The sequence below is a fragment of the Homo sapiens genome, chromosome 8 (genome assembly GCF_000001405.40).
Source record: "Homo sapiens chromosome 8, GRCh38.p14 Primary Assembly".
Taxonomy (NCBI): domain Eukaryota; kingdom Metazoa; phylum Chordata; class Mammalia; order Primates; family Hominidae; genus Homo; species Homo sapiens.
In genome coordinates, this window is record NC_000008.11 from 31,390,532 (window position 1) to 31,404,339 (window position 13,808).

The 13,808-nt window shown below is 41.8% G+C and overlaps 1 long non-coding RNA gene across 4 annotated transcripts in view; it reads left to right on the forward strand.

Moving 5' to 3' along the window:
* The window catches only part of LOC101929492 (uncharacterized), a 126,333-nt gene extending 115,741 nt beyond the window's left edge, over nucleotides 1–10,592 (forward strand). For 3 of the 4 annotated variants that reach the window (XR_949649.3, XR_247156.3, XR_247157.3), the window contains exons 3-5: nucleotides 94–1,583; nucleotides 9,748–9,869; nucleotides 10,368–10,592. This is a non-coding gene — a long non-coding RNA (uncharacterized LOC101929492). The remainder of the gene's footprint in view (nucleotides 1–93; nucleotides 1,584–9,747; nucleotides 9,870–10,367) is intronic. The other variant, XR_001745865.1, reaches the window with a different exon arrangement.
* Nucleotides 10,593–13,808: the final 3,216 nt, after the last annotated feature.

Genomic DNA, 13,808 nt, shown 5'->3' on the forward strand with positions numbered 1-13,808 from the left:
AAGAGCTAAGCAGCTTCCCAACTCCCATCCAAAGCTGACTTGTGGGGAGTTAATCCTACATAAGAAAAATCTTGTTTCTCTCTGGCATTTCAGAAGCAAAGCTTATTGATCACGAAGCATGACAGTGGAAGAATTTCCTGAAAATGGAAGGAGAAGATGGTTTCACAGCAAAGCTACTAATCTGAAACAGTAAAAGCAACAAACAAATGCCCACTCCCCTTAGCTGACCAGAACACAATCCTTGTGAAATATAAAAACAATTAGGTACATGTAACACAGGACACTGTTTTTCAAATTTAATGTTAACAGTGGGATTATTTGTTTTCCCTGCGACAAATTTCTTTGTGGGAGTCTGATATATCAAATAGGATTGGTAAAGTGAAGCAGGCACGGGCATCTAGAATTCTGCTGCTTCGTACTGCCCCTTCCCAGTCCCCAGTGGCCAGGAGATGCCCCATCAGAGCTCCAGGGCTCTCAGATCATTGTTTGAAAACTACTCATCAGAATGTCTCTTTGAATCAGAGCTTGGATTTCTGATGCATCGGACATTTAAACTCTCCCCGTTTTGCCACCTCTCTTGCAGTGAGTTAACCTAAAACATAAAGGGAAAAAGCAACAACAAAAAAGATCAAAAAAGCCCAAACGATCAAAAAAGGCACGCTGAAATCTGTGTCCTCACCTATTCAGAAAGTCAGGGGAAAAAAAGATAAAAGAATAAATCCTAAGCAAAAGCAACTTTCCATCGAGATGACAAGTAAGATAGCTTCTTCCCTTCTGCATGTGAATTGCAATTCCGATTTATGATCTGTGACATGATAATCAATCAGTCTTAACTGCATTTTGCAGATAGTAGCAGCTGTGGAGATGGGTGCTGAAGTTGACGTTGCCCAGAGATGATGTCATTTCTGGCAAACTCCCCTCAAATGTGCTTTGATCGATGTGGTTGTTCTTTCCTCTGCTAAGTTGACGTGTACTTAACCTCAGGCAGGAATCACGGTCAAGTCCGTTTAGGGGTCAGATCCGATGCAGCCATGGAAAGCTAGAGATTCTCAGTCCTGTCATCCCTTGATTTTACTTTTCTAGACACTAAGTAAAAAAATGAGAGGAGAAGGAAGGGAAGCAAGGGACAGGAGTAGAGACTGCTGGTGTCAAGGACAACAGGGTGGAAGGCCAAATGGAACATCACAGTCATCTTGAGTACCACTGCATGCAAGAACAGCTACCTGAAAGTCAATGATGCATTTAAGATTTTTCTTCCTGGCCCATAATTCCCGTTTGGTTGAGAGTATAGCTGCATTAAGTATATGGTAAATTTGCTGCAGGTGGCCCAGAAAACCTCCCCAGCGCTAACAATCAATTACCTCTCAGGACAGAAGCTGCTTCCTGTGCAGGAAATGCGAGATCTCTGCTCAGTGACAGAGGCTCAGGAATTTCATAGGACCTATGGATCTTCCAGTCCAACTGAGTGCAGAAAACTGCCAGGTTTCATCTTCCTCCTTCTCTGCACCAAAAAACCTGAGACCGGGATGCCATGTAGCTGCTTCAGTTGGGAGATGATGCCAAGAACCACAAATGAGGAAATGGTAATGTGGGTCAGAAGAGAGAGAAAAGCCAATAAGGGTCTATTTGTAAGTGGGCTACCACCACGGGCAGGTGGGGCTCAATCCCTCTGGGGCCCTCACAAAATTGTGTATCTCATGAAAGGACATGGAAGCTGGGATATTTGTCCAATCACTTCCTCCTCTAACAGGGTGAGGGATGCCTCAAGTGGCATTAACCCCACAATTCTGGTTATAACAGTGCAGCAGGGAGTTCTCCTGGTATCAGAGAAAGCCCGGTGGCTGAGAAGAGAGACCCAGGAGCTACACAGAGGTGGGATGCTGTTCAAAGCCCAGGAATTGTCTACCCTGGCCTGCAGGTAAACTCAGCTGGGTCAAAGTGACAGGAGGCTGTGGTATCAACAGTGGCTACTATAGCCTCCTAGAACCTGAAAAGGACTCAAATAATATAAACACATATCATTCATAGTGTTGCATTAGTTTTACACAATAAGATCAAATATAAAAATATTTATTGTAATCTAAAGTAGTTTACAACTAGGCGATCAGTCCAAAGTGGACAGAGGCTGCTAAAGAGAAGAATACAGAGAATAGCATAGAGAAAGAGGAAAATAGGAAGAGAAAATAAACTTCTATAGATTTAAAAAGGTTGGTTCATTGAGAATATAATTATTGAGCATGACTTATGTGCAGGAATCTGCTCTAAGTTGAAGGTAATAGGGTAATGATCAAAAATCACAAAGTTCTATGTTCTCATGAAGTTATATTCCAGCTGGAGGTAGACTGATCATTAGTAAGATAAATAAGTTTACAGAGTGCTTGATAATCATGAGTGCTAAGGAGAAAAACAGCAGAAAATGGGACTAGGAGGTGTGGGCTGGGGGAGGGTGTTAAAATCTTAAATGGGGCTGGGCTTGGTGGCTCACCTCTGTAATCCGGGCACTTTGGGAGGCCGAGGCGAGTGGATCACTTGAGCTCAGGAGTTTGAGACCAGCCAGGCCAACATGGTGAAACCCTGTCTCTACTAAAAAAACCAAAAAATTAGATAGCTGTGATGGCATGTGCCTGTAATCCCAGTTATTCAGGAGGCTGAGGCAAGAGAATGGCTTGAACCCGAGAGGCGGAGGTTGCAGTGAGCCGAGATCGCGCCACTGCACTCCAGCTTGGGAGACAAATGAGACTCAGTCTCAAAAAAAGAAAAAATAAATAAAAAAGAAAACATTGTAAATGAGCTGGGCAAGGAAGGCCCACTCCTGGGCAAGGAGGACTGAAGTGGGGAGGGCAGGAGGGAACCCTGAGGGTATCTGGGGAGGAGCATTCTAGGTGGAGGAACAGCAGGTACAAGACCCTGAGGTAGGAACATGCCTAGCAAGTTGGGGAGCATCAAAGGAGGCTCATGTGGCTGTAGCAGCATGATCCCAAGGAGAGTAGGAGGGCCTCAGTTCAGAGAGGAAATTGCAGATTAATAAGGTAAGCCAGATTCCAACTACAGGGCCTTGTGTACCTTTTTAAGGATTTAAGTTTCTACTCTGTGTGAGATTGTTATCAAACAGAACTTGGGTCCACTTGCCCAGCACAGCAAAGCCAAACACTGAGAAGAGAAAGTGAGGCATTTACCACAGGGTGCCAAGCAAGGGGAACTAGGCAGCTCATGCTTAAGACCCAAACTCCTCCATGGCTTACAGGTGTTTTTAAAGGCAGGGAGGCAGAGGTTACAGGCAAAGTCATAAATCAATGAATGGAGGCTATATATTGGCTTGACCTAAAAAGATGGGACATCTCAAAGTGGCAACCCACAGGTCATAAATGGATTCAGGGATTTTCTGATTTGCAATTGGATAAGGAGGCACAGCTTTGTCTAAAAGTCTGGGATCAGCAGAAAAGAGTATTAGCTCTGGCCTGTGAGTGTGACTTTCCCCAGTCCCCCCAGGATGAAATTTGAAAATAATGGCAGAGTTCAGTCCTCAATTCTCCCTTATCTGAGGTCTACATGCCAGGAGACAGCATTGTTATTTGGTTGGGGTCTGGGTTTCTGCAAAACAATTCAGGGACATGAGTTAAAATGTTATTTTTAATTTCTATAGGGACCCTATGGAGGGTCTCTGTTCCGTCCCACCCTGAGGAAAATGTTCCATACAGGGGCTTGATTTCTAACCCATTCCTGGCCGGCTAGAAGATCCGGAGTAACTTGGGCATGGATCACTCCCACCAGCTTCTCTAAACATTTATACTTTGAGTATTTTTCAGGTTCAAAGATAAAACAAGCATCTTAAAGTTCCATTTAGGCACAGTAGAATAAGTCTAGAGATTTCTCGCCCTCAAAGAATCTTGGAAGATCTGTGAAATATGCTCTATGCATTCACCTGACCTCTGCTTTGAGACCACCAATATTTTGATATTATATTGTCATATATATTGGTTAGGGTATTTGGTTGTAAGCAATAGGAACTAATTTGATAGACACAATGTGAGGTGGCCTATAGAGAAGCAATCATTGAAGAACTGGGCTTTGAGAGGGGTGGGAACTAGGGAAGTCCAGGAGAACCAGGTAATGGGAGTATGAATTAAGAATCTCAGAGGTACAACCCTTTCTGGGTCAAATCAGCTCCAGTCACTTTCTATTTTTTAGTTTTCCTGTTTCTGCAAAATATCACACAAAGTTCAAAATCTTGGTGGAGGGTCTCTAGACTCATTGAAGACCCGTGTTCAGTGGGCTGGAGCAATGAATGACAGTCCTACAAAGACTGCACACAATGAATGAGAGATAATCCCTTCATATGAAACCTAAGTACTGTCACCAGAGAAATATGGAATAGATGCTAAGCAGACCCATACAATAAATGTCCACTGGTCTACATCTGTGCTATCCAATACAGCAGCCACTAGCTAAATACAGCTATTAAAAGTAAGTCATATGAAAGAAAATGTAAACTCAGTTCCTCAAAAGTAAGTCATATGAAAGAAAATGTAAATTCAGTTCCTCAACTGTATCAGTCACATTTCAATTGCTCATTAGCAACATGTGGTTAATAGATTCTAAGTTAGCACATATATAGAACATTTCTATTGCCATAGAAAGTTCTTTTGGACTGCACTGGTATATGTAGTAATATATCTATCTGTACACATATTCCAAGCACTTTATACCACTTTTTATAAAATAAGCCCTCACTTTCATTACATTATTTAACTTGTATTTCTGCCTTGTGTTATAGATAGAAAGTATATTATTATTTCTACTTTATAGCTGAAGAAACTGAGTCCAAAATGGGTAGAGCAACTGGCACTAAAGATCACCTAGCCAGTCCGAGATCACACAGTCAGTATTAGGACTGGGGCCTTGTGCCTTCCAGTGCAGGGTCCCTTACACCAGTCATGACATAGATGCCCAGATCATGCATGACTTGATGTAAAAACAACAATTTTTGTTGTCCCAGTTTGAGTCCTTATAAATTTCCCCTGTCAAAGAAATAAACATGCAACTCTCAGAAATTATCTTTTATGGAGCTTTTAAAGGCCACTTTGCCAAAGGGAGCTATATAACCATGACATAAACATGAAGATGGATTGACAGAAAATACTCTTTCACAGGCTGGAGGAAATATTGGGGGAAAGAAATTTTCTCAGACTGCCCTTCCAACGTGGCATGGATCATGGAGGTCAGCTTTTCTAGCTTGTGCCCAGAGGTCTGTCTACCTCAGCTGTGTCTTGTGATTGATAGGAGGATACAGTCTCCCAGGGTGTGATTTAAGGTGGAGCTTATAGGTCTACAAAGCTCAAGCTCTTATCAAGCTACTATGGCATGATAGTACAATTATAAAGAAAGTAGACTAGTTTCTATAAGCTGTGTATAAAACCAGGCCCACCCTAACATTTGCAGGGCCTAGGCCAAGAGTGTATGTAGAGTCTCATATACCGTATGTCTAAATATTTCAAAGTTATAAACCAAGAAGGGCCTGTGGCCCAAACTGTGTTCCCACCCTAAGCCTGGTAGAGGCTTCTCACAGGTGTCCTTGGAGTCCCTCCAGGACCAGCCCTGCTGCTTGCCAGTCTGCATGGTCACCTGGATGTGCTGAGTCAAAGGCAGGTGGAGCTGGGTGAAAGTCTGTGGTTTTCAGTGAGGACTGGAGATTCTCAAATCTGGGATTGGGAACTGACTCAGTCAAGCGCCTCAAGGAGCTAGGGTGCTCCTTGAGCAGGTTCCTCTCCTCCTTATTTCAATTTGCTGATTAAGAACTTCTAGACAGTTCTAAGCCCCTTTCAAACAACACACGTTTTTAGCAAATGAGAAGAAGAAAGCTTGGTCATGTTAGAAATAGTCCTGTCCAGACACACACTTCAGAGCAATCTGGAATGGCCATTCCCCAAGCATGGGCTGCAATTCCTTTCTCCCCTGTGTCTCCCTAACGCCCACACCCACTCATCAGCTCTTAGTTCAGCACACTGGCCTGTGGGTCCGAGTTTGGTGTGTGCCGCATCCCTCTCCTATAAACTCTTTTTGCTCAATAAATTACTGAATCTTCAAAAGAAAAATTTTTAAATAAGACCAAAACCACAAAACAAAGCAAACAACAGTGACCTGGTATTTTGGCATTCATTTTGTGTGGGGCCCTCTAAAGCAGAGGGTCCTGGAGGAGTCTCTTCAGTCCAATGGCTGAATTACTCCAAGACTCTTTCATACAAAAGTTAGCTGGGCATGGTGGCATGCGCCTGTAGTCCCAGCTACTTGGGAGACTGAGGCGGGAGAATCACTTGAACCTGGGAGGCGGAGGTTGCAGTGAGCCAAGATTGTGTCATTGCCCTTTAGCCTGGGTGACAGAGCAAGACTCCATCTCAAAAAACAAAACAAAACAAAACAAAAAAAACTCTTTCTTTACTTTATAACCATATGGCAGGACATCTCAGTTCATCTATGACCTGTGGTTTTAAAGTAAATTCTGTTTAAAGTTATCTTTAAAATAGCTTTATTTTTGTTAAAATAGAGCCATATCTTCATCTGCGGGAAATCATATTGACTCCATGATAAGCTATATTCTGGAAAATAGTCAGTGTGCTGACGATTGCTACCTGTGAGTAGCTCACCCAACCCATAGGCAAAGTAGCAAAGAGAGAGGCATGGCAACCCCCAACGTGAGAGGCTTGTAGACAACCCACAGTTCTAGCAGATGTCAGTGCAACGGGGCAAATTTCATCCCCCTCAGAGCATGGCTCTGGGCACCACTGGACACATCTGTTTCAGGATAATTTGAAGTCCAGTTGTTCAGACAGAGTTGATCTTAAGACCATGGTGGCTACTGCTGAATTTTTTCAGATAAAGTTAGTAAAATCCGAAGTTCACCCAGGTGGTTGATGGCAATATGAACTCTATATAATACTGTCTGATGCCAAGTATCTTAGTCAACTCAGGCTGCCATAACAGAATACCACAGACCAGGTGGTTTAAACAGCAGATATTTACCTTTCACAGCTCTGGAAACTGGGAAGTCTGGGATTAAGCTGCCAGCATGGTCAGGTTCTGGTGAGGGGTCACCTCTTGGCTTGCAGGTGTCCACCTTCTTGCCGTGTGCTGTGTGTGGTGGAGAGATCTCTCCTTACGAGGGCCCTGATTCCATCATGAGCCCATCTAACCATGATTACCTCCCAGAAGCCCCACCTCCAAATACCATCCCATTGGGGGTTAGGGTTTCAACATATGAATTTTGAGAGGACACAGACATTCAGTCCATAACACCAAATCTGTATTCATCCTAGTTCAGCACAGAGCAGAACCTATGTTTACCCAATATCCTTTGAATACTAGTTCTGACCATAGCCTTTGTAATTTAAAAGCTCTACAGTCATTTTTTTTGAATTATAAATGCAATACACACTTTTACTAGAAAATAGGAAAAAATTAAATAAAACTTATCCATAATTCCACCAATTTGAGACTAACAGTTGGTTTCTTTTCTTCCAAACACATATGTGTATATAAATATACGCATATATACTTCCATAAACAACATATTTTTAAAATGAAATTAGATTCATACTGTTGAGGTTTTTTTTTTTTTTTTTAATCTTACTTCTTTCAACATGCTTTAAATAGTAAGCTTTTCCCTTGTCCTAAAAAAATTTTTACTTCTTCACTTTTTAATGTTTTGGCTGTCTGGACCATAAATTATCTGCATTTATATCTTATATTATTTAGAAAATATATATCTGCTTTTAATCCCCTCGTTTTTAACTTTTAATTTTTCAAATGGATTTTAAAAGCTGTGTTTTTGCTAAGTATCAACTCAAGAAGGAAATGTTCTCTTTTGAGTTCTACCTTTGCTAGATGAAGAATGTGGCCCACCTCTCCTCTCACTACCCCTTCATGTCAAAGCCTTGGATTTGTGGGGCTTTGGATGTTGTGCTTATTTTTTGAAATAAAAATAAATGAACAATTTCCTATGTATAGAAAATTATTATGCATATAAACCATGCATTTTTATCACAAAGGATTTTAGTTGGCAGTTTTCTGCAATATACTAGTTATTTTCACAAGGTGGAAATCCAGAGGATCGATTGACTTGAATCCTGAATCCCTACATCCTCTATCAGCACCCAGTGTTCTTGCAGGTTTTCAAAGAAACTCTCCCTGCTATTAGGCTAAGGCTTTAGATTCAAATACTCATAGAGAATCTTAGCCCTAGGCTAAAAATAGGGCCCACCTTTAGCATGGGCCGTATTTTGTTCCTTCTTCCATGGATATGTCTGGAGCAGTCTTCTTTAGTTCTGATTCCTGGCCAACATCATAGAAAGATGAATCCTTTAGGAAGTGCACCAAAGAAGGAGCACTTTTGCATAATGACTAGAGCTCCTCATCTCTGCCAACCACCCCAAGTCTCTCTCTCTTTTTAATTTTTATTTTTTTGCTGGGCCCAACCCTTGTTTCTGTTTGAGCAAAATGCATAAACTTAGAACAGACATTCTTAAGCCTTGTGCTGTGTTACACTGTTGTACTACGAGCATTTGACTTATTTTTGCTGGAACCATGAATATGTCTTGAAAGGCTGCTGTCTGCTGGATGAAACACTGAGCTAAGCAGGTCATACAACAGGCTGTAGAGTAGGAGCTCCAACTTGGAACTAAGGGGCATAAAGTGTGGTACCCTGCCCACTGGTGTCAAAGAAAAATTAAGCATTCAAAGGAACATGTGAGGGCTTTGCTTTCTGACAGTGTGGTTCTGGCTATACTGAGGGTTATCTTTTAAAACTAGCATGGTATAGAAGAGTGACCTCATGGACAGTGCAGTAACTAGATGCTTCCAAAGGGTGTGAGATGCTGCTTTTCTCTAGTAGTATTTGTGTTATAATTATTCCTGGCTTGTTTGCCTTTAGTATTTTTTTGACTGCCAAAAATTATAGCATTCAAAAAATGTGCCACAAAAACAACAAAGTTGACAACTACTGATCTGGAACCTTTCTAAATGTGACCAGTCAGAGACCATAGCCAATATTTTCTATTGTCTATAGAATGGGATGGGCAGAGAAAACAGCTAACAAAAAAGGAAAAAACAACCCAAAATATTTCATGGTTTCAGCTTTATTAGCCTAACAGTCAAGTTGTTTTGGTTCCACGACTTTTAAATTAAGCGAAGGAGAACTCTCCCATCAATAGGTTCATTGTGATGCCAAACTTTACATATTTTGGAAAAACATTCATTTACCCGCCAGGCAAGCTGCCTCCTCTCTTAGAGTTCGTGGTAGGGAACTATAAGCATAAAGACCTTTCTGAGGAGGTTTTCCTTATTTTATTGACTGCCTCATATATTTACAACTTCCCAATTTATTTTTTCAGACTGCTAACTCCTGTGTTCCTAGATTCCCATTTTTCAATTGATTGTGGGCTTTTTCTAGGGTTACAGATTTAACTTCCATGCAAGTGGTGGGGTGTCCCACATCAGGACCTTGTATATTCTAACTCTAAACACTCTTCGTATTTCTGTATGTCTCCAGACCAGCAAACTTACACAGTCTTCTTGTTATTGATATTTGCCTTTTGTGTGTTCCAAGAGCATATCCCTAAGTGCACAGAAGATGTGATTTTTCTTCTGTCATTGTCTCCAAAACCTCTTCTTTCCTGCATCTGAAGTCCCCAGACCCTGGATAAGATTTCTACTTTGTTGCACTGAGGAACAGAACTTTTCCCTTTTTATTTACAGAAGGGTCTGGCTCTTATCACCTCTGAATAGCATGCCATTCTCTTAGCCTCATCTAAGAAACAGACTGTAGGGGAAGAGAAGATCTAGAATGTTGGTCACCAACCAATGGCAGACATTATCAGGTAAGAAACCTGCCCACCCAAACTCTGGACCCTAATATGCAAGTCTAACTAGTTCCATAAAACCAATCCCTGCTAACCCCACAAACAGGTTGCCTATAGCCTTACAAGTGGCCTCCTTGGTTTTTAGTGGCATAGTGCAGGTGAGCCATATATTATGCTTCTCAATTTATTTCCATTGGTCAGAAAACTGGTAAAAAATTCCTTTTCAATGGTATAGTTTTCGAATCTCAACAGAGACTTCTTTGGTCTTAGTGATGAGTCTTCATGGTATTTTGGCTTGCACGTAGTAACAATAATCAAGTCATTCACCCAGTGCAAGATTTTGGTGTCTTTATTTTTAACTATTTGTATTGTGCATTATCACATAGATAACCATTTGTTTTGCTGGTCTCATTGCTCACGTAGAAGTCTGAATATAATTCTTTCTCAGAGTGTGGGAAATCATGGATTGATATTCTTAGTTTTTGATGTAGTGCTTTTTATTTTTAACCTTCTTAGACAATTTGTGAGCAAGGAAGTCAGGAACTGTGAGCCACCTGCCATCTTAATTTGACATCTAGTCTCACTACTTTCAAGCACCTCCACTTCAAAATACTCTTACAAGTGAATCACCATTGTTAAATGGATCTTTGAAGGAATTTTGACAACCAGACTGAAAACAATCTAGACATCTTAGATATTTGTGGCTTCACAGAAAATAAAATAAAACAACCCTTTTCAGCATCAAGTTATATTTTCCATAGCTACAGAATCTGGTAAATAACTATGTTACTCATTCATCTAGGTAGTTTGATACTACCTACTGATACTGGAGTTGGGGAGGGAAGTGCTGGGAAGGGAAGGGTGTGGTCCCTGGCTAGGGCTCCACCCCTGGGCCTGTGCCCATGAACCTAGGTGAGGACAGGCATTTCTGTTTTTGTGCCCAAATGTTGCATTTCCCAAGACCAACCTGGCCTACCACACCCCTCTCCTGTGCCTATAAAAACTCCCAATACCCTAGCTAGCAAGCACACAGCAACTGGATGTCGAGAGGAACACACCAGCAGAATAAGATACAAGTGGCTGGGCATTGAGGGGAATGCTCTGGCGTAAGAGCACATCAACAGATGCCGGCAGGCCAGCAGGCTATTGACCAGCAGGACGAGGTGAAGTTTGGCTGGGGCAGTCGAAGGAGAGAGCTCCACTGCTGAGTGGCCGACTCCAGGGGAAAACCACCTTCCCACTCCATCTCCCTTCTGGCTCCCCCATCTGCTGAGAGCTACTTCCGCTCGCTAAAATCTTTGCACTCATTCTCCAAGCCCATGTGTGATCTGATTCTGCTGGTATACCAAGGCAAGAACCCTGGGATACAGAAAGCCCTCTGTCCTTGCGATAAGGCAAAGGGTCTAATTGAGCTGACTAATGCAAGCCGCCTACAGAGAGCTAAACTGAAAGAGCACACTGTAACACATGCCCACTGGGGCTTCAGGAGCTGTAAACATTCACCCCTAGACACTGCTGTGGGGTTGGAGCCCCACAGCCTGCCCGTCTGCATGCTCCCCCTTGAGGTTTGAGCAGCGGGGCACCAGAGAAGTGAGCCACTCTCCCTGTGGCACACCCTGTGAGGGGCACAAGGGAACTTTTCCCATTTTACTACCAAGGCCAGTGACATGAATGATCAAATACCAACCAGCTACATTTTATTTAATTTTTAATTTTTTTAGTTGTCAGAAGATTTTATTAACTGTAAGCCAGGGAATGGACTGATCGATTTTATTATGCAAATCAATGAAAAAAAAAACTCTTTTAGAAGGACACACACACACGTGCTCACAGGGAAGCTGGTTGTTGGTTGAGAGTCAGGTCAGAACCTTGGAGAGCTCAAGATAAAGGGGGGCAGAACCACAATCAGAAGCTTCCATGGCTGCCCCCCACATGGATGAGTTTTATTTAATTATTTTTTTCCTTCAACTTTTATTATAAGCTCAGGGGTACATATGCAGGATGTGCAGGTTTGTGACATAGGTAAACCTGTGCCATGGCGGTTTGCTGTACAGATCTTCCTGTCACCTAGGTATTAAACCCAGCACCCATTAACTATTCTTCCTGATGCTCTCAACCAGCTACATTTTAAACCCTATTTTCTCTAAAGATACATCAACAGATTAGCTTATTCTTCAGTCCTGGATCTAACATAATTTGTACAGTAAAGTGAAGATAAAGTTTATTCAGATTATTTGTACAAGTACTTTCTCATCAAAGTGCAGCAGTCTACTTTCTGTTTCCCATGGGTGATAGGAGATAGGGTTAATGAAACAGCAGTAATTTAGAGACCAGTTTTAGCTGCATATTGCAATCTTTCTTTAGAACTATCCTAAAAGCTGTCTGTTGCTTTGAAATGAATCTTACTTCCATTTCCTCCTTTTCTTTTGGACCTGCTCAGGAGCAATAAAATAGAGCAAATGTAAACAGCAGAAATGAGACAGAAGGGGACTTGGAGATAAAAGAAATTTGTTTCTTCTGCATTCTTCAGAATGCAGAGTAGTTCCTGGCAGAGAGTAGATGCTAAGTTAATGTTTGTCAAATTAAGTGCATAACCCGAATATTCAGAATAGAAATCTAAATAGTTTTTACTTGCCTGAACACAGGAACCTTACTCCTAGAAAATTTGGCTGGCTAGCAGAAACAACTTTAAGTGCCTTGAAAAAATAAGTAACAGATGATAGGTTGCTTCTAACTGGAGGCTGGTGGAAGACAACATCACATTAGGTCTAGGGGAGGATTATTACTTGGGAAGGTGGGCTTGAGTCAGTGATGGGTTGAGAGGATGCGGTAGTAACCAAACAGGTCAGCCAAGCCAGCAGCCATCAGGGATGGAGCCAAGGCAAACTTCAAGCAGACAATGCTGAATACAAACCATGTCTACCTTCTCAGATTGCCTCCCACCCACCTTTCTCTTTACATATTGGTGTAATAGCTATGCTGATTAGCCTGTCTCCTTCTGGATGTGGGTGAAAGGCCACATTCTGGAGTTTAGGACCTGCTTTTTCAAGTGGTACTCAGGGGATTAAATGACACAATCCAGAAGTGTGTGTGAGGAGTGATTAGCTCCCTGCATGTAAAACTTGATAAAAGAAAAATGAAAGACAGAAGTCCTCGCTTCCTTCTTTCTTTCAAGGACTACTCCAAGGTGAGATTTCATTTGCACATTTTCTTAAGAAGTCCTGAGAGCTGGGCAGACATGGTTGCATCCTGGCCCTTGTGTTGCTTCTTTCTCCTCTAACCCTCATTCTTCTAGCCTTTCATTTCCCAACTAAAGGGTCAACCCTTTCATTCTTTCTTCAGGCTCTGCTTTCTAAGAAATCAGGAGTAAGGTACTGACTACCCCAGAGCTGTCTCACTTGGAGCTCTTTCCCTCAAGCTTTTCTGTTTAGTGTTTTTGTTTGCCATCCAAGGACATAAAAAGAGAAGGATCCTTCCTCAAAAACCATGCCCTCAGTCTCCTATGTTACTCCTTTTTTTGGTGCTGTGTAATAGTTATTTCACACCATAATAAATATTAGCTATACTTGCCATTGTATAGGTGTAGGGGAGGATGAGGAGGTTCAAACTGTATTCCCAACATCATAACTTCCTGTTACATCCAAGAGCTGTTGAACAATATCGAGTTTCCCAACATATGTGTGATTGGAATCAAAGGAGGAGAAGAAAGGGAGACAGTTCAGAAGATAATATCTGTGGAAATAATGGCTGGGAATTTTCAAAAAATAATGACAGAAACCAAACCACAGATCCAGGAGTCTCAGAGAACAGCAAGAACAAAAAAACAAAAAACACTCACTCCTCTCCCTACATACACATGCTGTGGCATAGCATAAAACCAAAAAAACAGACAAAATCTTAAAGGTAGTCAGAGAAAACAAAACATTACATAAAGAGGAACAAAGGTACAGTGGTGCA